The 25,528-nt window shown below is 42.7% G+C and overlaps 1 protein-coding gene across 9 annotated transcripts in view, besides 4 other annotated features; it reads left to right on the top strand.

Moving 5' to 3' along the window:
- Window positions 2,757-2,957: a silencer, noted in NCBI's record as "peak5783 fragment used in MPRA reporter construct". NCBI's record gives its function as "represses an SCP1 promoter by STARR-seq MPRAs in K562 erythroleukemia cells {active_cell/tissue: K562}" and the evidence as "EXISTENCE:reporter gene assay evidence [ECO:0000049][PMID:32103011]".
- Window positions 6,071-6,410: a silencer, noted in NCBI's record as "silent region_17117". NCBI's record gives its function as "represses an Ori minimal core promoter by ATAC-STARR-seq in GM12878 lymphoblastoid cells {active_cell/tissue: GM12878}" and the evidence as "EXISTENCE:reporter gene assay evidence [ECO:0000049][PMID:35858748]".
- Window positions 6,071-6,681: a biological region, named in NCBI's record as "H3K27ac hESC enhancer GRCh37_chr6:36514791-36515314".
- Window positions 6,158-6,681: an enhancer, noted in NCBI's record as "H3K27ac hESC enhancer chr6:36514791-36515314 (GRCh37/hg19 assembly coordinates)". NCBI's record gives its function as "activates a minimal SCP1, AML or CMV promoter by ChIP-STARR-seq in primed H9 embryonic stem cells {active_cell/tissue: H9 hESC(primed)}" and the evidence as "EXISTENCE:reporter gene assay evidence [ECO:0000049][PMID:30033119]".
- STK38 (serine/threonine kinase 38) overlaps window positions 6,216-25,528 on the top strand; it is a 53,588-nt gene continuing 34,275 nt past the window's right edge. For 3 of the 9 annotated variants that reach the window (XM_017010226.2, NM_001305102.2, XM_047418144.1), the window contains exons 1-2: window positions 6,216-6,505; window positions 13,491-13,623. In XM_017010226.2, coding sequence (XP_016865715.1) covers window positions 13,493-13,623 — 131 coding nt within the window. In that variant the 5' untranslated portion in view covers window positions 6,216-6,505; window positions 13,491-13,492. Of the gene's footprint in view, window positions 6,506-8,409; window positions 11,927-12,905; window positions 13,095-13,487; window positions 13,624-25,528 lie in introns of all 9 variants that reach the window. The other 6 variants (XM_047418143.1, XM_047418141.1, XM_047418142.1 and 3 more) reach the window with 4 other exon arrangements.

The following is a 25,528-nucleotide window of genomic DNA, read 5'->3' as shown; positions in this document are numbered from 1 at the left end:
GGGACACTAAAGAGAAAACAAAACAAAACAAAACATGATTGGGGAGGGATTATTTAGGAGGACAAAGTGTGGTTAATTTCATGTGTCAAATTTGTTAGGCTATGGTGCCCAATTGTTAGGTCAAACGCTAGTGTAGATGTGAAGGTATATTTTATATGTGATTAACATTTATAATCATTTGACTTTATTTAATTTTTTTTTTGAGACGGAGTCTTGCTCTGTCGCCCAGCTTAGAATGATCTCTGCTCACTGCAACCTCCGCCCCTGGGTTTCAAGCAATTCTCCTACCTCAGCCTCCTGAGTAGCTGGGATTACAGGCATGCGCCACCACATCTGGCTAATTTTTGTATTTTTAGTAGAGACAGGGTTTTGCCATGTTGGCCAGGGTGATCTCGAACTCCTGACCTCAAGTGATCTGCCCACCTCGGCCTCCCAAAATGCTGGGATTACAGGCGTGAGCCACCGCACCTGTCCTCATTTGAACTTAAATTAAGCAGATTACCCGCCATAATGTGGGTGGGCCTCACCCCATCAGTTGAAGGCCTTAAGAGCAAAAACTGAGGTTTCCTGAGGAAGAAGAAATTCTATCTCAAGATGGCAACATAGAAATCCCAGCTGAGTTTCTAGACTGCTGGCCTACCCTGTGGATTTCAGACTTAAAACTGCAACATCGACTCTTTTCAGTTTCCAGACTGCCCGGCAAATTTCAGACTTTCCACCCCCCACAGTTGCATGAGCCAATTCCTTAAAACAAATCTCTGTATCTCTATATATTCTCTACATAATTTCTATATAGCCCTGTGATTCTGTTTCTCTGGAGAACCCTGACTAATACAGAGGGCTCCAGGGAGGATGACCCTGGAGAAAAAAATGGAGCTGATAATGAATTGTGAGTTTGACCATAACCTGAGAACATTTTTTCAGTTTTGACAAAGAGGTTGCAGAGAAGTCAGTGATAGCTATTTAAAAATGAAATTATGTAGGAGAAAAAACTGAAGCTATTGTTAACTCCAGGGAAAACAAAAAGTGGTACATGAAGATAATCTGACACAATTGTAAACACTGACTATTGATTTAAAAGGGATGGCAGTGGTAGAAGAAGTTGTGGTATAAGTGAGTTAAATCCTCATCTTAATTGAGGAAATTAAAAAGATTAAAAAATAAAAACTTAAGAAATAGCAATGTTATTTCAAAACAAGGAGATAAATGGCAGAAGAACAACTAAAAGCTTGTAAAGCATCTGCTTCTGCTGAGTGAATCTGGTGGGAGTGGGTGGGGCAAGGAATTGCTGTTTATCATTATGAGTCTTGTAGATCATTTAATCTTTTTCAAGTCTGTACATGTATTACTTTGATAAAAATAAAAACTTAATTAAAAGGTTATGGGGTCCAGTGTAGAAAATTTGGAAAGTACAGAAAAGTATAAAGAAGAAAATATAACCACTCACAATTCCTCCACTCAGAGAAAGCCACTGGGTATATTTTAGAGGAACAAGATTAAATGAATTTGTGAGATTAAATAGAGCTTGAAGATTTAAAACATCACAATTTAGATATAAATGAACAAATAACAGTATAATACCGCATATGTGTAGATATAATTACATACAATATAAGCATATATACTATGATTCCATGCATTTATATGTGTATTAGAAAGTAGTCTCAGCTGGACACAGTGGCTCATGCCTGTAATCCCAGCACTTTCAGAGGCCAAGGTGGGAGGATTACTTGAATCCAGGAGCCTAGCATGGGCATCATAGGGAGACCCCATCTCTTCAAAAAATTTAAAAATTAGCCAGGTGCGGCAGTGCATGTCTGTAGACCAGCTACTTGGAAAGCTGAGGCAGGAGGATCACTTGAGCCTGGGAGGTTGAGCCTGCAGTGAGCCATGACTGTGTCACTGCACTCCAGCCTGGGCAACCCAGTGAGACTCTTTTAAAATACACACACACGGCCGGGCACGGTGGCTCACGCCTGTAATCCCAGCACTTTGGGAGGCTGAGGCGGGTGGATCATTTGAGGTCAGGAGTTTGAAACCAGCCTGGCCAATATGGCGAAATCCCCTCTCTACTAAAACTGCAAAAATTAGCCAAGCATAGTGGTGCACGCCTGTAATCCCAGCTACTCGGGAGGCTGAGGTAGGAGAATCTCTTGAAGCCGGGAGGTGGAGGTTGCAGTGACCCAAGATCACATCAGTGCACTCCAGCCTGGGTGACAGAGCGAGATTCCGTCTCAAAAACAAAACAAAACAAAACAAAACACACACACTCATGCACACTAGTCTCAAGGCCAGGTGCAGTGGCTCACACCTGTAATCCCAGCACTTTGGGAAGCTGAGGCAGGCAGATTGCTTGAGCTCAGGAGGTCAAGGCTGCAGTGAGCTGTTATCGCACCACTGCACTATAGCCTAGGTGACAGAGCGAGACCCTGTCTCAGAAAGAAAAAAAAAAAGATAGTCTGGAGGAATACCCACCAAAATATTACTTGGTGGTTATGTTACCAGGGTGGGACCAGGCTAAGGCAAGCAAGGTTCCTAGGACACTCAATGTAAGGCTGCCTTCACTCTCAGGGTTCTGCAAATGCAGGAGTAGAACCTGAAAGTGAGTGTCTTCTTAAATGTTATGCCCTCACATGCTTCACCCTAGTCTTGGCCTTGGTTGGGACCTACGGCTGCTGGATTATGGGCACTTTCTCCTTCTTACTTTTTACTTGGATATATGTTCAAGTTCCTTGCTACTCTAAGTGTAGTACATGGACCAGCAGTGATAGCATCATCTGGGGGCTTGTTTGAAATGCAGTATCTCAGCTCTGCCCCAGACTTTAGCCAGATCTGCTCTTTAACCAAATCCCAGGAGATTTATGTGCATGTTACAGTTTGAGAAGCACTGGGCTAGCAGGCACCCAAGCATAGTTCCTGTCTTCTTATGAAAGGAATATTCAGAGGCAATTGATGCCACTGCCCCAATAGGTGGGGCACACACTGCTAAGGGGTAAGATGCCTGTTTTTAAAAAGAGTTGTGGTTCTTTCCAAGTGGCTCAGTTTTGGCTGGTGAAGCAATCATAGGTCAGCTTGATAAAGGAGAGGCAGGTGATTCCCTTGGAACAAAGAACGGGTGAGTTGAGCAAGTGAGCAAGACACTCACCTTGGGCACAAAAAACTCAGTAATCAAGATAAAGACCATTTTAATGCAAGGTTTTTCAAAAATCAAAATTAATGCAAAAAATCCACGATGAATAAAACATCGAAATTTAAAATAAAGCTCGACTCACTGTGTAAGGTGGTTCATGCCTGTAATCCCAGCACATTGGGAGGCTGAGGTAGGAGGATCACCTGAGAACAGGAGTTTGAGACCAGCCTGGGCAACATAGTGAGGCCTGACTCTACAAAAAACTAGCCGATCAAGGTCGTACGCACCTTTGTTCCCAGCTACTCACAAGGCTGAGGTAGGAGGATTGCTTGAGCCCAGGAGTTCGAGGCTGCAGTGAGCTATGATTGTGCCGCTGCTCTCCAGCCTGGGTGACCCCAGCCTGGGTGACCCCGTCTCAAAAAACAAACAAACAAACAAACAAACACGGGGATGTGACAACATCAAAATTATGCAGGTCAGATCTTTCTAATTTCCAACTCACAGTCTGGGATGGGTATAAGTGATTTCAGTTTTGGTGATAGGAAAGGGATTCAGATGCTCAAGTGGCCAAAAAGAATGACAAACGTCCATTATAGTTATTGGAATCTTGGTAAAATGTCACCTTTTGGGTTCCTGCAGAAAGAGCAGCATAATTTGGCTGGGCTGTTTTGAGGAAAACTTTAGTGCTTATTTGAGTTGTGGTACAGATAAATTAATATAGGAGGAAAGGGCCGGGTGCGGTGGCTCACGCCTGTAATCCCAGCACTTTGGGAGGCGGAGGTGGGCAGATCACGAGGTCAAGAGATAGACAGCATCCTGGCCAACATGGTGAAACCCCATCTCTAGTAAAAATACAAAAAAAAAAGGCCGGGCGCGGTGGCTCACGCCGGTAATCCCAGCACTTTGGGAGGCCGAGGCGGGCAGATCACAAAGTCAGGAGATCGAGACCATCCTGGCTAACATGGTGAAACCCCGTCTCTACTAAAAATACAAAAAATTAGCCGGGCTTGGTGGCGGGCGCCTGTAGTCCCAGCTACTCGGGAGGCTGAGGCAGGAGAATGGTGTGAACCCGGGAGGCGGAGCGTGCAGTGAGCAGAGATCGCGCCACTGCACTTCAGCCTGGGCAACAGAGCAAGACTCCGTCTCAAAAAAAAAAAAGAAGAAGGAGAAGGAGAAGGAGAAGGAGAAGAAGAAGAAGAAGAAGAAGAAGAAGAAGAAGAAGAAGAAGAAGAAGAGGAAGAAGAAGAAGAAGAAAAGATTAGCTGGGCATGGTGGCACGTGCCTGTAGTCCTGTAGTCCCAGCTACTAAGGAGGCTGAGGCAGGAGAATCACTTGAGCCTGGGAGGTGGAGGTTGCAGTGAGCCGAGATCGTGCCACTACACTCCAGCCTAGTGATAGAGCGACACTCCGTCTCAAAACAAAACAAAAACAACCCCCCTCCCCCCACCAAAAAAAACATATATATAAGAGAGAAGAGAGAGTGAAATTCCTCTTCTGAAACTGGGAAAGTTCCAGGAGGAAGATAAGGTTTGAGCTGGGCTTTGGAAGGAGGAAAGAGAAGAGGAGAAAGAACATTGGATTTGCAGACAGAAAATGGGGTTCCCCTCTTGGCTACTTGGCTTACTAGCCGTGGGAATTCAGACAAGTCACTTAGCTTCTCTAAGTATCAATTACTTCATCTGCAAAACCTCGTGTGTCACTGCCAAAGTGAGGACCAAGTGAGATTAAATAAGTGAAAGTTGTTTGTAAACTGTAAAGCATTATGCAGACATCTTGGACTATTATTAAAAGCTTAAGAATGGGTAGGACTTTGACAACAGGCATTTGGGGAGAAGGGCCTCTGGGCAGAGAGAATGAAAGGCGAAGTGATTGATTGATATGTATGTAGTGACTGATTGAGACAGGGTCTCCCTCCGTTGCCCAGGCTGGGGTGCAGTGTCATGATCATGGCTCATAGCAGCCCTGAACTCCTGGACTCAATCAATCCTCCTGCTTCAGCCTCCACAGTAGGTGGGACCACAGGCACTTGCCACCATGCTGGCCAATTACAAAAATTTTTTTAGAGGTGGATTCTCCTTATGTTGCCCAGACTGGTCTCAAACTCCTAGGCTCAAGCTATCCTCCCACCTGGACCTCCCAAAGTGCTGGAATTACAGGCAGGAGCCACCGCGCCTGGCGAGAAGTGATTTTTGTTAAGAGGCTAGACAAAAGGAAACTGGGCTTTGAAGATGAAATGAATGAATAACTCGCAGCACATGCTTCCTTCTCTCCCTAGATGGCCCCTTTGCAGGCAGTCAGGGACCATGTCTCGTTCATCTTAGTTTCCAGGAGCTTGACACTTTGTAGTTGAGGGCTTTGTGCTCCATTCTCAAGAAACGACAAGTGCCCAAAGGCTATTAAACTTGGGACCTCTTTACCCCCAAAAGTAGTACAGAATAAGAGTTGGGTGGCCTTGAAAAGCACCTTCTTCTGTCCACACTGGGTCGCCCGCTGGGTAACCTCCCAAACCTATGAGAGCTCACCTTATCCCAGGTAAGGTCCTTACTTTAAGGAAGAGGAGGGGGGCCAAGGGCTCCAGCAGACCTGTTCTACACGGGGTAGGGGGGTGGGTGGGAACTATACAGGTGACAACATTTCATAGAACTACACACACACTCACACACACGCACATGACTGCATACCCAACAGGTTAAATCCGAGTGTGGTCTGTAATGAAGTTAATTGTATTGGTTTAGTTAATTGTATTGGTTTAGTTAATTGTATTGTGCGAATGTCAATTTCCTGGCTTTGAGAATGTTGTATCTTAAGAAAAATGTTGAGGTAAGCTGGGTGGGTGATGGTATAGGGAACCTGTATGTATTAATTTTGCAACTTCTTGTGAGTCCATAATTATTTCGAAGTAAAAAGTAAAACAAAAGAAAACAATGGAACTTCCCCCTCAGCCCAGCCTACTTCGAGACCGCCTCACACTCACACATCTGGCCTCACCCAGGTCCAGCCAGCCCTAGGCAGGGGGTGAAGGGAGGGGCAGGGCGGGGCCACGCAAGCGCAGTTCCGCAATCCCGGCCGCTCCGGGAAGTCGCGCATGCGTAGTCTCGGCCCCGGGCTGCCGCGCCAGCCCGTCTCCGCGGCGGGGGACCGGGCTGCCTTGGCCCCTCAGCGCTCGCGTCTTTTCCGGCAGTTGGAACGCTTCCTGTTGTCCTCACCCGTAACCGCCTGTTGCCCCCTGTCTCAGAGTCCCTCACGCGTCCCCTCCCGTCTTTGGCTCGTTGGCTGCCGCCGCCGGGGCTTCGCCAGCCTTCAAGTCGAGACTACTGGCCGAAGGGGCGTCTGCGGCTCTCCGCCGTCCCCAGCCCTGCCTCTCCCTGGGCTCTGGTGAGTTGCTTGCTGCCGCCGTCTTCACTCCATCCCGGGGTTTTTCCTTTATCTCCTCCTTCCCCAACCTCCGACTCCTTCTTGGGCTTTCTCCTGCTCGCCGGCGCCCTCTTTCAAGCCCTAACCTCTCAGCCTCTTGGCCTCTCTCCGCCCCTCTCCTTAACCCCCTTCTTCCCCCGTCTCCAGATGCCCCTTGTTGGCCCTCTCCACATTTTTCCAGTCCCAGCCTTTCCACCCCATCCTTTATCTTTCTCCTTTTGCAGTTGGAGCGGGAGCCAGGCTTTCCTTTCCATGTTGCCACCTTTGTCTGCTCCCTGCCACCAGTCAGTCCCTCAGGGATCTCGGTCATCACCGGTTTTTATCTCCTTTTCCTTCTTCTGGGGTCTGTGAACTGTGGTCTGAGGCAGAGATGTCGAAAGCCCCCCTTGGGGTGTGGTATCTTTGAGTCGGCTCCTTTCTCCGTTAGTCTTAGGATACTGGGCTTCAGATAAGCTTCAAATCACAGGAAAAGGCAGGGAAAATTCTTAAGAAGAGAGTGGAAAAGCAACAGCCAGAGGAAAAAGTCGGTAAGGGCTTAGAGGAAAGTCTGTGTCAGAAAGCGGGCAGAACGGCCGGCAGAGAGACCAGATCTCTCAGTTCATTCTGAAACGACTAAAAGACTCGGAGAGAAACTTGTTCTGTTTGAAATGCACCGAGGAGGGTTGGAGTGAAGTAGACCCTGAGTGTCTCCACCCTTTGAGCTCACCCTGCCTCTGAATTAGCCAGGCAATATATTTGGTTTCCCTAAACATAAAACAACCACCACCTCGATAACAGGCTCTCCTCCCCACCCTAAACGTTAGATACCAGCTTCCTCCTAAGAGGAGAGAACGCTATAGCAAACCATTTCATGTCCCAGCCCTATCCCCCATCACACATAAACTCCTAGGAATGGACATCAAAAATGAGTATATTTCCTAGTTAATCTTTCTTAAGGTGCTAAGTGCATAGCACTGTGCATGAAATGGGGGAAGAATATTAAAACAAGTATAAGACATGGTGCTTGCTTTCTAGTGTAGGTAGAGATTACAGTTTAGTAGGATTTACAGTTCAGTGGGAGAGATTAGACATGCGACTTAAGCAATAATCTTAGCTCCAATGTTGAATCGTCCAAATGAAAGATAATGGATTGTCAGTCGCAAAGAAATAAAGTCCATATTGTTGAGAGAGGGTTGTTTATAGTGATCACAGAGTACCATTGTAAAGTCAGTCAGTTAGCCAGGCATAACCATATAGATTGAATCACATAATGGTTTTCATTTGACTTCCTTTTGAGTTTGCAGGCCTTACACCTGACTTTTATGAGGATCAGTTCCTTTTGTTAATTTTTTAAAACTTTGAAGAATTCCTCAGCCACCTATTATTTCCTAATTCTTCAGAGTTGAAGAATGAAACAAATGGGGCAAAGGCCTCCAATGGCTTCTAGGTCAGGGCAGGAAGGCTTGAATTGTGGAAAGCCTGATGGATAGTCCTGTCTTAAGAAAAGTTGGTTGACCCAGTAAATCTATGAATTGCTATAGGGCAATATTAATTACATCTTTTGATTAAAGGATATTAGAATTAGGCTAAATTTTTTATATTACAATAGAGGAAGTGGAGGAGGGTTTAAAGAAAGGTCAAAGGGAAGGAGAGTGCAGTCTTTATCATTATATTAGAAACTCTAAAAGTTGAAAAACACTCTGCTTAAGAATTTGTTGGTCTAATATTTGAGCATCTTTGAGTTCATTTAATGTCCTTTTGATCTTTTTAAAAGTTTAGGTAGTAATGCAAGCCAGCTACTTAAATTAGTCAAAGCATTTTTGATATATCCATCAGTGTAAATGTAGTCTTTATTCTTTTTTTTTTTTTTTTTTTTTTTTTTCCAGACGGAGTCTCACTCACCCAGGCTAGAGTGCAGTGGTGTGATCTTGGCTCACTGCAACCTGTGCCTCCAGGGTTCAAGCGATTCTCCTGCCTCAGCCTCCCAAGTAGCTGGGATTACAGGTGCCCACCACCACACCCGGCTAATTTTTTTTGTATTTTTAGTAGAGACAGGCTTTCACCATGTTGGCCAAGCTAGTCTCCAACTCCTGACTTCAGGTGATCCACCTGCCTCAGCCTCCCAAAGTTCTGGGATTACAGGCATGAGCCACCGTGTCCGGCCATCTTTATTCTTTAGCTTTGTTGACAACTAAAAATCATTAACTTACTCAACTGCCTGTTATATGGAAGGCACTGTTTGCCTTAGGGTTAAATACTAGCAGATTGTTGTGTTGTGTTTGTTGTTGTTGTTGTTGTTTTTAAGACAGAGTCTTGCTCTGTCCCAGGCTGGCGTGCAGTGGCACAAGCCAAACTCACTGAAACCTCTGCCTCTCCAGCTCAAGCAATCCTCCCACCTCAGCCTCCTGAGTAGCTGGGACTACAGGTGTGTGCTACCACACCTGGCCAATTTTTTGTATTTTTTTGTAGCAACGGGGGTTTTGCCATGTTGCACAGGCTGGTTTCAAGCAATCTCCTACCTCTCCCTCCCAAAGTGCTGAGATTACAGGGGTGCACCAGTGCCCTGGCAAATTGTTACATTTTTATGTTGAAGTAATTTCAGTTGTTAAAATGTAACTACATATATGCAATTTCTTCAGGAATTTTCAGACAAGGAAGTACAAAACTCTCACTTGCTTTTGACATGTTTTTACATCTGGTTTTTAAATTTCTTCACCAAACACACTTAGAGTGCATGTGGTTTTCATTGTGGGTGGAGGGGGGGGTACAGGCTGACAAATAAGGAACCACACCCAAGCTTCACAAACCAAACAGAGGTTTTTTTTTTGTTGTTTTTGTTTTTTTTAATTCCTTTAGTGATACTCTAAAACATTTGAGTTTGCTTTGGTATTAGTCGAAACTTCCCCATAAAAAATAATGTGATATTTTATAGTAAGGTAGCTCTTAATGCAGTGTCTTAAATTTGTTTTTACTGATCTTTTTGGCACATGATGAATCAAAATGTTTGACTCTCAAGTAGAGTCTTAGTTTTGAATCTCTGCTCTGAAGGAATTATTTATGTGATTTTTGTCTGCGTATCTTTTTAAATAATTGCTTTTTAAATAATTTTAAGGCTTTTTTGAACAAGTGTTTTATAAGCCTTAGTTTAATCCACAAAACAATTTAAAAAGCTACTAAATATTAAGGGGGAAAACCTGAAAACTTTTCTTAAAATGCACTATCTTTGAAAATGGTCCTTGGCTGGGTGCGGTGGCTTATGCCTCTAATCCCAGCACTTTGGGAGGCCCAGGCAGTCAGATCATCTGAGGTCAGGAGTTCAAGACTAGCCTGGCCAACATAGTGAAACCCCGTCTCTACTAAAAACTAGCTGGGGGTGATGGCATGTCCCTGTAGTCCCAACTACTTGGGAGGCTGAGGCAGGAGAATCGCTTGAACCCAGGAGGCGGAGGTTGCAGTGCACCGAGATTGTGCCATTGCACTCCAGCCTGGGCGACAGAGTGAGACTCCATTTCCAAAAAAAGAAAAATGGCCCTTTGACTCTCATGATTCTTTTTTGCTGCAGCTGTGGGGGGTAGTAGAGACAGGGTCTTGCTATGTTACCCAGGCTGGTCTTGAATTCCTGGACTCATGAACTCCTGGGCTCAAATGATCTCTCTACCTCACCCTCCCAAAGTGATGGGATTACAGGCATGAACCACAGTGTTCAGCCTCTCCTAATTTTTACTCAGCTTTATATTGGGATGAAGAGACAGAGAAGTAGATCATATGAGAGGTAGGAATGGTAAGAATAAAATATTGAGCACTATTGGCCGGGCATGGTGGCTCACGCCTGTAATCCCAGCACTTTGGGAGGCTGAGATGGGCAGATCATGAGGTCAGGAGATCGAGACCATCCTGGCTAACACGGTGAAACCCTGTCTCTACTAAAAAATAGAAAAAATTAGCCGGGCGTGGTGGCGGGTGCCTGTAGTCCCAGCTACTCGGGAGGCTGAGGCAGGAGAATGGCACGAACCTGGGAGGCGGAGCTTGGAGTGAGCCGAGATCGCGCCACTGCACTCCAGCCTGGGCGACAGAGCGAGACTTCGTCTCAAAAAAAAAAAAATTGAGCGCTATTGCCAATGCTGGAGCAAGTCAATGTTAGTGAACAATTTGGCCAAGTGTGATAATACAGGTTAGCTGAAATATCTGGAGGAAAACAAGATTTTATTTTATTTATTTATTTTTTTTGAGACGGAATCTTGCTCTGTCACCCAGGTGGAGTGCAGTGGCATGATCTCGGCTCACTGCAACCTCTGCCTCCCGGGTTCAAGCGATTCTCCTGTCTCAGCCTCCCGAGTAGCTGGGATTATAGGCGCCTGCCACCACGCACAGCTAATTTTTGTGTTTTTAGTAGAGACGGGGTTTCACTCTGTTGGTCAGGCTAGTCTCCCAACTCCTGACCTCAGATGATTCGCCTGCCTTGGCCTCCCAAAGTGCTGGGATTACAGGCGTGAGCCACCGCGCTCAGCCGATTTTATTATTTATTTTTGAGACTGAGTCTCGCTGTGTAGCCCAGTCTGGAGTGCAGTGGCGCTATCTCGGCTCACTGCAACCTCTGCTTCCCAATTCAAGCAATTCTGCCTCAGCCTTTGGAGTAGCTAGGACTACTGGTGTGTGCCACACTCCTGGTTGAAAACAATATTTTAAATTTAGGAAAAAAATATTCTATAACTTATCTAAACACATTGGTGGTGTTTTTTTCTTGTGTAAAATGAGGAAATTAAGATCTCTTGTTTTTAAGGTATTGCTGCTTCTACCACTAGAATCGTGATTCAGGTTTTTTGTCATATTGTTCCCTTTATTTTAAGACTTAAAACTTTATTTTAACTTGTAAATTCAAATAAACGGCAAACATTTATCAAATACCTTAAGGCTGTGTCAGAGCATATATGTATCAGATTACCATTTTTAATCATAGATTTTTCTTTTAACTGTGGATAAACTTAAAAAGTTATTGGTAACAGTATATGCTTATGGAAGAAAATATAGAAAAACATGGGCTGGGTGCAGTGGCTCATGCCTGCAATCCCAGCACTTTGGGAGGCCAAGTTGGGTGGATCACTTGAGGTCAAGAGTTTGAGACCAGCCTGACCAGTGTGGTGAAACCCCGTCTCTACTGAAAATACAAAAAAAAAAATTAGCTGGGCACAGTGGCTGGTGCCTGTCATCTTAACTACTTGGGAGGCTGAGACACGAGAATCGCTTGAACCTGGGAGGCAGAGGTTCCAGTGAGCTGAGATTGAATCATTGTACTCCAGCATGGGCGACAGAGTGAGACTCCATCTCAAAAAAAAAAAAAAAGAAAAAGAAAAACATGGAAAAAGCACAAGCAAGAATAACATTTTCTATTCCCACTACCTACAGGTAAGCCACTAATAACATTTTGATGATATGTTTCTAATAATTATGTGCATATACAGTAAACACATAAAGAAAATTGAGATCGTGATATACATTCTGCTTTGTAATGTGTTCTGTTGACTTAGAGTGGAAACATTTCCTCTGACATTAACTATTTGGACATATTTTAATTGTCTGCACATTATTTTATTGAAGGGCTTTTTCATACTGAATTAATTCTATTGTGTATATTCAAGTTATCCCTAATTTCCCTTTGTGATTACAATGCTGCATTGCACCTCCTTGTGATGAATTTTTATGGGTCTTTGATTTCTTCAAGGTAGATTTTTAGATGGCAAAGAATTGTACTGTATGCATACTGTATATTTTTTTTTAGGTCTCACTATGTTGTCCAGGCTAGTCTTAAACTTGGGGACTCAAGCAGACCTCTGTCTTGGCCTCCCAGGAAGCCAGGATTACAGGCGTGTGGTTTACTATATATTCTTAATTTATCTATATGGTATTGTGATCTTGTTCTCTTTTTAAAAATGCAATATGCACTTGCACTAATATGTTTTAAAGATATATTTGTGGGCTGGGCACGGTGGCTCACGCCTGTTATCCTCAGCACTTTGGGAGGCTGAGATGGGCGGATCATGAGGTCAGGAGTTTTGAGACCATCCTGGTTAACATGGTGAAATCCCGTCTCTACTAAAAATACAAAAAATTAGCCCGGTGTATTGGTGGGCGCCTGTAGTCCCAGCTGCTTGGGAGGCTGAGGCAGGAGAATGGCGTGAACCTGGGAGGTGTAGGTTGCAATGAGCGGAGATCGCGCCACTGCACTCCAGCCTGGGCGACAGAGCGAGACTCCTTCTCAAAAACAAACAAATAAATAAATAAATAAAGATATATTTGTGTGGGCCAGGCGCGGTGGCTCACAGTTGTAATCCCAGCACTTTGGGAGGCCGAGGTGGCCCCGTCTCTACTAAAAATACAAAATTAGCCAGGTGTGGTGGCGCATGCCTGTAATCCCAGCTACTCGGGAAACTGAGGTGGGAGAATCGATTGAACCTGGAAGGTGGAGGTTGCGGTGAGCCAAGATCATCCTGTCGCACTCCAGCCTGGGCAACAAGAGCGAAACTCCATCTCAAAAAGAAAAAAAAAGATATATTTGTGTGACTTACAGGTACAGGTAAAGTTGCTTCTGGTTTTCTGGTTGTTGCATGGTATTTCCTATGCAGCCACAGCTCTTTATTTTCTTACTTAAGTGCCTCCAACTTCCCATAACACAAATTAAGGCATGATGAACATCCTCTCTGTGCTGAACATCCTGTGTATGTCACTTTAGAAGCCTGTGTGACGGTTTCTTTAGTCTTTATACCTAGGGGTGGGATTTCTGGGTCATAGGACAGTAATTTATATTTATTTTCACTAAGTATTCTCTTTCTCTGGCTTTTGTTACATATTACCTGTTTGTCCTCCAGAAAACTTGCACCAATTTACATTCCTACCAATAGGGTAGGAGAGTGCACACTGGGTGGATTCTAACTCCAAATCTAACACCTCTTCTTTTCTTTGTTTCTAGCAGCCATGGCAATGACAGGCTCAACACCTTGCTCATCCATGAGTAACCACACAAAGGAAAGGGTGACAATGACCAAAGTGACACTGGAGAATTTTTATAGCAACCTTATCGCTCAACATGAAGAACGAGAAATGAGGTAAAGAATTTTGTTTGAAAAAATTGTGTCATGGTTGTGGCATTCCTTTCTCGTATTGTAAAACACTTATAATGCTGAAAGGAGACAAGAATAGTAGCAGCCTTATTATAGACTATCATAATGGAATGACAGTGAAAGGGCTTTTCAAAGTCCCTGCCATTAACCCACTTATGCCTACAAGTCAATAACACAAACTTCTATTGAAATCCAAGAAAAAAAATGATACTTGGGAGGTTGAGTTGGGAGGATTGCTTTAGCCCAGGAATTTGAGGCCAGCCTGAGCAACACTGAGACTCTGTATCTTAAAAAAAAAAAAAAAAAAAAAATTAGGCCCAATCCAAGGAGTTGATTGTTAAGGCAGAGTGGTATAATGGAATAGCAGCCCTTTTGGAGTCAGACTTGGGTTTAGAGTCCTGCCAGTTTCATTGAATAGCTGTATGAAGCTCTAATAAGTTCCTTAGTCTTTCTGTGAATTGGTTCCCTCATCAGGAAAATGGGGATAATACTACTTGCCTTGCAGGATTGTGTTGGGGATTAGATATAACATATGTGAGTATGTACCATAGTGTTTCACACATAGTAGTCACTTAGTTAATGGTGGTAGTATCAGCTATTGTTATTACTGATCTGGTGTATACTGTCCACTTAGTAACTCATAATTTATTTATTGGTTTTTTTTTTTTTTTGAGATCGAATCTCACTCTGTTGCCCAGGCTGGAGTGCAATGGCATGATCTCAGCTCACTGCAGCCTCTGCCTCCTGGGTTCAAGCGGTTCTCGTGCCTCAGCCTCCTCAGTAGCTGGGACTACAGGTGTGAGCCACCACGCCTGGCTAATTTTTGTATTTTTAGCAGAGACGGGGTTTCACCATGTTGGCCAGGCTGGTCTTGAACTCCTGACCTCAGGCATTCCACCTGCCTCGGCCTCCCATAGTGCTGGGATTACAGGCATGAGCCACTGCTTGGCTGTAACTCATAATTAAAAAAAAATTTTTCCCAATATTTTACTATGAAAGTATTCAGAAGTACAGAAAACTTGTAATAAACAGTGAATATATACATATATATCATCTAGAGTCTATAATGGTTATTTATTATATTTGTTTAACTGCATATCCATCTATCCATTCTTGTATCTGTCATTAATCCATCTTAATTTCCTTTTTTTTTTTTTTTTTTTTTGAGACAGAGTCTTGTTCTGTCACCCAGGCTGGAGTGTAGTGGCGTGGTCTTGGCTCACTGCATCATCTGCCTCCTGGGTTCAAGTGATTCTCCTGCCTCAGCCTCCCGAGTAGCTGGGATTACAGGCATGCGCCACCACGCCCAGCTAATTTTTGTATTTTTAGTAGAGACAGGGTTTCACTGTGTTGGCCAGGATGGTCTTGATCTCTTGACCTCTTGGCCTCCCAAAGTGCTGGGGTTATAGGCGTGAGCCACTGTGCCCGGCCAATCCATCTTAATTTTTTGCCTCACTTCAAGGTATGTTGTAGACATCAGTATACTTCTGAATATTTCTGCTTATATAACATTAACTAGAATTCAGTATTTATACTTTTTGGGGAAGGGTGTAAAATTTATATACAATGGAATGCACAAGTTCAAGGGTACCATTTTATGAGTTTTGACAATTGCATACACTTGTATAACTTAAACCTTTATCAAAACAGAACATTACGTCTCCCAGAAAAAGTTTTCATGCCTCTTGGTTCTTCAACCTTAGACAAAGACAACCACTGTTGTGATTTTTTTTTTTTCTTTTTTTCTTTTTTTGAGACGGAGTCTCACTCTGTTGCCCAGGCTGGAGTGCAGTGGCGTGATCTCGGCTCACTGTAAGCTCCGCCTCCCAGGTTCACGCCATTCTCCCACCTTAGCCTCCCGAGTAGCTGGGACTACAGGCGCTTGCCACCAAGCCCGGCTAATTTTGTTTTTGTATTTTTAGTAGAGACGGGGTTTCACTGTATTAGCCAGGATGGTCTCAGTCTCCTGACCTCGTGATCCACCTGCCACAGCCTCTTGAAGTGCTGGGATTACAGGCGTGAGCCACCGTGCCTGGTTGTGATTTTGTTTCTATCATAGTTTTGCCTATTTCATACAAGTGGAACACATAAATGGAAACATGTAGTATGTACTCATTTGAGCAAGGCATCTTTCATTTAGCATATTTTTTTTTTTGTCGAGACGGGGTGTTGTTTTGTTGCCCAGGCTGGTGTGCAGTGGCACTATCATAGCTTACTGCATCCTTGACCTCCCAGGCTCAAGCGATCCTCCTGCCTCAGCCTCCCAAGTAGCTGGGACTACAGGTGCATGCCACCATGCTTGGCTAATTTTTAAAATTTTCTGTAGAGACAGGGTCTCACTTTGTTGTCCAGGCTGGTCTCGAACTCCGGGGTTCAAGTGATCCTCCCACCTTAGCCTCCCAAAGTGCTAGGATTACAGGTGTGAGCCACCACACCTGGCCAGCATATTTTTGAGGTTCCTCTGTGTTGCTATATGCATCAATAATTTGTTCCTTTTTATTGTTGGTACTATTCTGTCTTCTGACTATATCTTTGTTTGTCCATTCTCCTATTGATAAACACCTGGGTTCTTTTCAGTTTTTGGCTATTTTGAATAAACTTCTATGAACATTTTTGTACCAATCTTGTGAACATTTGTTTTCAGTTCTCAGATAAACATCTAGAGAGATTCAGTGGAATTGCTGAATCATGTACATAGCTATATGTTTAGTTTTATAAGAAACTGCTAGACCTTTTTCCAAAATATTATTAATATATGAGAGTTCTATTTACTTTACATTTTTACTAACATTTGCGTTGTCAGTGTTTTAGTTATTTTGGTGGATATTTAATGATCTCTCACTGTGATTTTTATTTTGCATTTCCCTGATGACTAATGATGTTGAACATTTTTATGTGCTTTTTGGCCATTTGTGCATCTTCCTTTGTGAAATGTTTGTTGAGATTTTTCGAGCATTTAAAAAAATGGAGTTGTCTTTATTATTGAGTTGCAGGAGTTCTTTGTTTGTCCTACATATCAGACCTTTGTCATGTGTATGTTTCGTAAGTAATCTCTCCCAGTCTGTGGCTTTCTTGCTCATCTTGTTAACAAAATCTTTAGGCAAGCAGAGGTTTTAAATATTGATGAAATAAAATTTGGCATTTTTTTTTTAATGGTTATTGTATTCTGTGACCTTTCTAAAAAACCTTTCTTCTTTAAAAAAAAAAAATTAACTAATTTGGGCCAGGTGCGGTGGCTCACACCTGTAATCCCAGCACTTTGGGAGGCCGAGGTGGGCGGATCACCTGAGGTCAGGAGTTCGAGACCAGCCCGACCAACATGGAGAAACCCCGTCTCTACTAAAAATACAGAATTAGCTGGGCATGGTGGTGGCGCATGCCTATAATCTCAGCTACTCGGGAGGCTGAGGCAGGAGAATCGCTTGAACCCAGGAGGCGGAGTTTGTGGTGAGCTGAGATCACACCACTGAACTCCAGCCTGGGCAACGAGAGCGAAACTCAGTCTCAAAAAAAATAAAATTAAAATTAAAATTAAAAAAAATTTTTTGTTTTTTTAGAGTCAAGGTCTTGCTATGTTGACCAGGCTGGTCTTGAACTCCTGTCCTCAAGTAGTCCTCCCACCTCAGCCTCCCAGAGTGCTGGACTTACGTTAGCTACGGTGCCTGGCCAGAAACCTTTATTTATCCCCAAGTCATAAGGATTTTCTCCTATGTTCCATTTTGGAAGTTTTTTAGATTTAGTTTTTACATTTAGTTCTGTGATCCATATTGAATTAATAGATGTGTATGATATGAGGTGGGGAGTTCAGATTGATTTTTATCCTTTTGGATATCAGTTATTTTAGCAACATTTGTGGAAAAGATCTTCCCCCATGAGATTGCTTTGGCACTTTTCTTGAAAATCAAGTGACATATAGGTGTGAATTCATTTCTGGGCTTTCTTTTTCTGTCCCATTGATTTCCTTGTCTGTCCTTAGCCAGTCTCACCTTGTTTTGATTACTGTAGCTTTGTAGTAAGTTTTGAAGTCAGGTAATGTGTAAGTCCTCCAGCTTTGGTCATTTTATTTTAAGATTGCTTTGAGTATTCTGTGTTCTTTGCATTTTATTATAAATTTTAGAGTCAAGTTATTAATTTCTACGGAAAAGCCCAATGGAATTATGTTGCTTTTTTTTTTTTTTTTTTGAGACGGAGTCTTGCTCTGCTGCCAGGCTGGGGTGCAGTGGCGTGATCTTGGCTCTCTGCAACCTCTGCCTCCTGGGTTCAAGCTATTCTCCTGTCTCAGCCTCCCTAACAGCTGGGACTACAGGCACACGCCACCACACCCAGCTAATTCTTGTATTTTTAGTAGAGATGGGGTTTCACCATGTTGGCCAGGATGGTCTCGATCTCCTGACTTCATGATCCACCCGCCTTGGCCTCCCAAAGTTTTGGGATTATAGGTATGAGCCACTGCACCCGGCCTGGAATTACTATTGGAATTATATTGACTCTGTAGATCAGTTCGTGGAGAATCGACATCTTAACAATATTGAGTCTTCTGTTACATGGACATTGCAGATCTCTGTTTTTCTTGTTGTTTGTTTGCTTGCTTGTTTGTTTGTGTGTTTGAGACGGAGTTTTGCTATTGCTGCCCAGGCTGGAGTGCAACGGTGTGATCTCAGGTCACTACAACCTCCGCCTCCCATGTTCAAGCAATTCTCCTGCTCCAGCCTCCTAAGTAGCTGGGACTACAGGCACCTGCCACCACCGTGGCTAATTTTTTGTATTTTTAATAGAGACGGGGTTTCACCATGTTGGGCAGGCTGGTCTCGAACTCCTGACCTCAGGTGATCCACCCGCCTCCTCCCAAAGTGCTGGGATTACAGGCATGAGCTACTGCACCTGGCCCATGTCTCCATTTTTAAGGTCTTCTTTAGTTTTTCTCAACAGTGTTTTCATAATTTTTAGTGTGTGCATCTTACATGTCTTGTTAATCTATTTCTAATATTTGGGGGTTTTCTGGATGCTATTTAGAATTTCACTGTCCAGTTGTTTGCTGCTAATATATAGACATATAACTGAATTTTGTATATTGATCTTGTATTCTGTAACTTTCTAATTAGTCTAGATTTTTTTTTAATTTGCATATTTAGGATTTTCTATGTAAACAATCTTGTGATATTCAGGTAGAGACAGTTTTACTTCCTTTTCAATCTATTCACCTTTTTTTTTTTTTTCCTTGCCTTAGTGCACTAGCTGGGAATTCCATAAAATGTTGAATAGAAGTAGTGGGAGTGGATATCTTTGTTTTCTTCTTGATTTAAGAGCAAACGTGCTCACTGTTTTACTAAAGATGCCCTTTATAGGTTGAGGCAGTTTCCTTATGTTCTAATTTGGGTTAAAAAATTTTTTTATTGTTTTTTTTTAGAGACAGGGTCTTGCTTTAACCCAGGTTGGAGTGAGGTGGCACAATCATGGCTCACTGCAGCCTTGACCTCCTGGGCTCGAGTGATTTTCCCACCTCAGCCTTACGAGTAGCTGGGAATATAGGTATGTGCCACCACACCTGGCTAATTTTTTTTTTACCTTTTTGTAGAGACAGGATATCACTATGTTGACTAGGCTTATCTTGAACTCTTGGCCTCAGGCAGTCCTCCTGCTTCAGCCTCACAAAGTTTTGGGATTACAAGTGTGAGCCACTGCACTCAGCCTATGTTCCAATTTGGCTGAGGAGCTAAGAATTTTTATCATGAGTAGGTGTTGAATTTTTTCTTTTTATTATTATTTTTTATTTTTGTCATTTGTTTTGATTTTTTTTGTGGGTGTTGAATTTTTTTCAAATGCTTTTTCATCATCTCCATAATGGTCATATTGTTTTTCTCCTTTATTCTTTTAATATGGTGAGTTACATGGACTGATTTTTGAATGTTAGACTAACTTTACGTTTCAGGGGTAAAACCCTCTTGATGACATTGTATTATCTCCTTTATGTTGCTGGGTTGATATGCTAATATTTTGATAAGGATCTTTGCAATCCTGTTCTTCATGAGGGTGTAAGTGATAATTTACATGGGATATATAATTTGACCTTAAATATGCAGTTCTGTATGTGGAATAGTCAAATTTTTTATGCTTGGTGGTGGCTAGCTGCTGTTCACTGGAGTAAACAAGTGTCTGCACAGTGTCCCGTGTTAGGATCATGGGGAATTCAAACGTAAATCTGTTCAGAATATCTTTAGGCAGGTGAAACCTGTGGAGACAGTTATTTCAAATACAGTCACTTCTTGAAATCATAGCTACTGGGGTTGTAATTATAAAGCAAATGGTTATGAGTTTTGATTTAGCCACTTGTTTAGTAGTAGTCCTCTGGGTTTTATCCTACTGGTTCTGCCCTAGCTATGGTTTATTGTTGGTATGTATCACGTTCTGCAGGAACAAGATGATGTATGGTTTTATTTACATTATTAATAAATGATACATTGTGATTAACACTAAGATTATACCCCAAAATGAGCAGACAGCAGTGCTTTGCATTCTTTGGATTCTTAAGATAGAAAAGCCTTCTAAAAGTTTCAGTGGTTCCAGAAGCAGTGAGGGTTATATAAAAATAAACAAAATTTTAAAAATACAGCATTGGTGGTTTTGCTTTTTTTGAAAGACCAAATTAATCAAAAGACAGAAGAGAATGTTAGATATTTAAGAGGGTTAGAATGTTTGTTTTTGGTTGCTTATCAAATTGCCATTATTTTTCATTAAAGAACAGTAAGCCACGTGTGGTGGTGTGCACCTGTAGTTCTAACTACTCAGAAGGCTGAGGTGGGAGGATCTCTTGAGCTCAGGAGTTTGAGGCTGCAGTGAGCTATGATTGTGCCACTGCACTCCAGCTTGGGCAACTGAACAAGACGCCATCTCTTTAAGAAAAACAACAATGCACTAGTACTTTCAGCCTTTCAGAATTAATATATCCTTGTAGATCTTTTTTTGTTGTGTACCCCTTTTTTTTTTTTTTTTTGAGATGGAGTCTCACTCTGTTGCACAGGCTGGAGGGCAGTGGCGCCATCTTGGCTCACTGCAACCTCCTGGGTTCAAGCAATTCTCCTGCCTCAGCCTCCCGAGTAGCTGGGATTACAGGAGCACGCCACCATGTCGGGCTAATTTTTGTATTTTCATTTTGTTTTTGAGACGGAGTTTTGCTCTTTTGCCCAGGCTAGAGTGCAATGGCATAATCTCGGCTCACTGCAGTTGCTGCCTCCCGGGTTCAAGTGATTCTCCTGCCTTAGCCTCCCATGTAGCTGAGATTGCAGACATGGACTACCATGCCTGGCTAATTTTTGTATTTTTAGTAGAAGCGGGGTTTCACCATGTTGGCCAGTCTGGTCTTGAATTCCTGACCTGAGGTGATCTGCCCGCCTCAGCTTCCCAGAGTGTGTGAGCCACTGTGCTTGGCCTAATTTTTGTATTTTTAGTATAGATGGGGTTTCACCACGTTGGCCAGGCTGGTCTTGAGTTCCTGACCTCAAGTGATCCACCCGCCTTGGCCTCCCAAAGTGCTGGGATTACAGGTGTGAGCCATCACATCCGGCTAGTACCCTCTTTTTTGTATGAGCTGCTAGTAGGTTTTGGATTTACTGATACAGCTCAATAAGACTTTCAGGCTTTATTGTTCCTAGAAAATTTTTTAAAAAGTGATTGACAAGAGTTACCTCAGAAGTAAACTAAGTTGGATTGTGAGAAACAAGGTTTAAAACCTTTTTTTTTTTTTTTTTTTATGCAGACAAGGTCTCACTGTGTCACCCAGGCTGGAGTGCAGTGATGTGATCATGGCTCGCTCACTGCCGCCTCAAACTCCTGGGCTCAAGCCATCCTTAGCCTCCCAGAGTGTTGGGATTACAAGCATGAGCCATGATTGCCTGGCCTGAGTTTGCAACCTTTTTGATGTTCTGGAGGGACACATTGCAGGACCTTGATAAATAAACAGTTTTGATGATATGAGATAATTGATAATGAAGAGATAATATATGATGGAGGTTTGAAATAATAAGTATTGGGCTAGTAAATTTTGAGACCAAGTTGTAATACAAATTTTCATTTTTTTTATTTTGTGTCTTGTCTAGGTACCTTTAAAATATCTGTTATTCCTAGCATTGCTATGCAACTCTTTCCCTGTTCCATCATAAAGAACACTAGTTTATAGTTGAAACAAAGGGCTTACTGCAAGGCCATACGTGTCCAAAGCCCAGAGATAGAAGAAAGAATAAAATTCATTTGGGAATTGTTTCCTGTGTAAACATAAAATATGATAATTTTGAGCAGTTTCATAGAAACAATATAGTAGCTTCTACAGATTGGTTTAAAAATAATTAAACCCCCTGAATCTAGTGTCCATCACACAGTGCTGCAGAATGCCACCTGATGGTCTCCTGTTAATACCACTGTTAGATCATAAGCACTCAATAGGGCAAGTGCATCTGCTCTATTCCTTCAGTCTGTGTTTTGCCTTCAATGGCAGCTTTGGTTGTGACCTTCTCTAGGAGCAGCAGCTCTCTTTGTATTCTCTCTGTATGTGATCCTAGGTACCTAGTAGGTATTGACAGTTGTCTACTTTTTCATTAAAAAACAATGTTTTAGATAATTCATAGCAGTTTGAAATCAAATCTGAAGAAACCGGCATTTCTTTTTACAAAACATTTTCAGTTGTTTCTTTTCTTCATGAATACTAGTTAGGTGGATTAATTAAAACCATAAACACCTAATTTAATAGGTAATAATGGTAAGCTTTTTTCTTCCCAAATCAAACAAAGTCTTTCATACATTTTACTGAGAATTTCTATGTTCTGCAACTCCTCTTAGATTTTCTCATCTATGTTTTCTTAACTGGAGAAATTCCTCATTTGGTCTTATCTAATACTAAGTAGAAATATGTGATTATTATTAGTGATCCAGTGTCAGTTTTATTTAAGCCTCAAGAATGAGTAAGTCCAGACCTCCTGATGTTCTTCACTGACCAGATATCAAACCAGAGTGTAGAACTGAAGTAATTTGTTGAGATTTTAAAGAATCTGTGTAGTGTTAATTTTAGGGTATTTCTGGCTGGGTACAGGGGCTCACACATGTAATCCCAGCACTTTGGGAGGCCGAGGTGGGTGGATCACTTGAGGTCAGGGGCTCAAGACCAGCCTGTGCAACATGATGAAACCCCGTGTCTACTAAAAGTACAAAAATTAGCCACACATGGTGGCATATGCCGGTAATCCCAGCTACTCGGGAGGTTGAGGCACAAGAATCACCTGAACCCGGGAAGCAGAGGTTGCAGTGAGCCGAGATTGTGCCATGCACTCCAGCCTGGGTAACAGAGCTAGACTCTTGTCTCCAAAAAAAAAAAAAAAGAAAAGAAAAGAAAAAAAGGAAAAAGGCCGGGTGTGGTGGCTCACGCCTGTAATCCCTGTACTTTTTGAGAGGCCAAGGTGGGTGGATCACTTGAGGTCAGGAGTTCGAGACCAGACTGGCCAACATGGTGAAACCCCATCTCTCCTAAAAATACAAAAATTAGCTGGGCGTGGTGGTGGGCACCTGTAATCCCAGCTATCCGGGAGGCTGAGGCAGAAGAATCACTTGTACCCGGGAGGCAGAGGTTGCAGTGAGCCGAGATAGTACCACTGCACTTCAGCCTGGGTGACAGAGTAAGACTCTTGTCTCAAAAAAAAAAGTATTTATTAGACATTTTCTGAATTTTAATCATGGAGATGTAATCACAGCCCTTTCCCCTCCCCCTCCGCTCCCCTCTTCTCTTCCTGACAGAATCTCGATCTGTCGCTCCTCTTCTCTTCTCTTTTCTTTCTGACAGAATCTCGCTCTGTCACCCAGGCTGGAGTGCAGTGGCACGATCTCAGCTCACTGCAACCTCTGCCTCCCAGGTTCCAGAGATTTTCCTGCCTCAGCCTCCTGAGTAGCTGGGATTACAGGCACGTGCCACCACGCCCGGCTAATTTTTGTATTTTTAGTAGAGATGGGGTTTCACCATGTTGGCCAGGCTGGTGTCCAACTCCTGGCCTCAGGCGGTGTGCGAGCCTCAGCCTCCCAAAGTGCTGGGATTACGGGTGTGAGCCACCATGCCTGGCCCTATTTCTGTTAAATACACTATTTTTCCTGGTTTTCAGTGTCTCACCAAAATACTGTCTGTTTTCAATTAGGGTGGAATAGCCCTATTCTCTCATCCCTGCTACCTCCAAATCAGGCTATGCCAAGAGGGGACCCTAAATTAGATTAGAAAAGGGGGCTAATTGTAAGTAGTAGTCATGAATGTGTCTGCACATTGCTATACATTCTGACTTTTTAAAATTTAGCAGCATACATTTAGAAAGTAGCTGTGTACAAAGCACTATTCTTAGTGGACATAGGGAATTCAGATATAGTCCCTGCCTTCAGAAGGACTTACCACTCTCTCATATAAGAAATGAACACACACGCAACTAAATGGAACACATGGAAGGCATCACTGGGGTGAGGCTGGATATGGCCTCTAAGTGTGAAAGTGGCTTCGTCTCTCTCCTAGGGTTCTGGTTTTGAACATTGGAATTGAAGGGAAGAGTGGCTCCACCAAGGGCTGGAGTGTTAGTTAACCTGGCACTGCTACCAGAGAACATGCCTGTGTGGAGAGTCCTGCTATTCTTTTTCATTATGAACAATTTTAAACATAGGTGGAATAATATAGTGACCCCGTTTCAATATATTCATCCCTCAGATTTAATAATTTTAGGGCTTTGGTACATTTTCTTCATCTATCCCATTTTGTTTTTTCTTGCTATTGTGTTTTAAGGTAAATTCCAAACATCTGTCATTTTAATCCTACATACTGTCAAGTATGCATTTCCAAAAATATGGCCATTTTCTTGCATAATGCAAATGCCACCATGAATCTAACCAAGTTAACAGTAATTCCTTTGATGTCATCTCACAGAGGATGTCATTTTTAAGTCTCATTTCAGGCTGTCCTTGCTGTTTTTGGTGTCCTCAAGGTCTTTGTGGACCTGGTCCTAATTGTTATCATGGATAGGCTTTTTTTTTCTGGATACTTTCTCTAATGAAATAATCTGATTGTGTTCAAGGAGTTAACTTCACTCTCAGGCAGGTATTCTGCAACCAATTTAATTACACTTCAGTAAACCTGTGGAAAACCTCTTAGTTTGTATTTAGGTTTAAAATATAATTAGAAGGAGCCACTTTTGTGACACAGTGGATAGTGCATTGGACTGGTAGCCCATTCTGATGTAGTCATTCAAAAACGTGTAGTCAGGACGTATGATGGTGTTTAGTACTCAAGGCACAAAAAGAGCTGACCACAGCTGTGTTCTTAGAGCTTTTGCCTAGCATGTTATGCTTTGACTTTTCTTGTTCTTCTCTGCTTCAACTACCTAACCACTTGCAATGGAATTAATTTACACTCCCGAAACTACTAAGAGTACAGCCTTTTCTCTCTAATACATGTGCACGCATAGATGCACATGTATCCCAAAATATTCTGGGAACTGGGAGAACTGTTCGTGTTCCTCTCTCTGTTTCCTGTCTTGATTAGTGGCATCATATCCCTCTAGACAGGAAATTCTAAGGTTTTTCTCTTGACTCCTATTGCCAGTTGGTCATATTTGCAATAGCTCTATTCACTTCATTCTAGTTTTCCTGCCCTAGTTCCAGATCTTTACTGTACATCTGAATCATTACAATAACTCTCAACTAGCCTCTTTCTCAGTTGCTTTCCCTGCCAGTCCATCAGATCCTCATTACTGCTGGTTACCATTCTAAAATAGAAATCTTATCACATCACTCCTTTGCACACAAGCCTCTTTTAGCACTCAGTTGTCTACAGAATGAGATCCAACCTTCTTGGTGTGGCATTTGTAGTGCTGTGTGCGTC

The sequence above is a fragment of the Homo sapiens genome, chromosome 6 (assembly GCF_000001405.40).
Source record: "Homo sapiens chromosome 6, GRCh38.p14 Primary Assembly".
NCBI lineage: Eukaryota > Metazoa > Chordata > Mammalia > Primates > Hominidae > Homo > Homo sapiens.
Note: the sequence above shows the minus strand (reverse complement) of the source record. Positions and strands in the feature narration are given on the sequence as shown.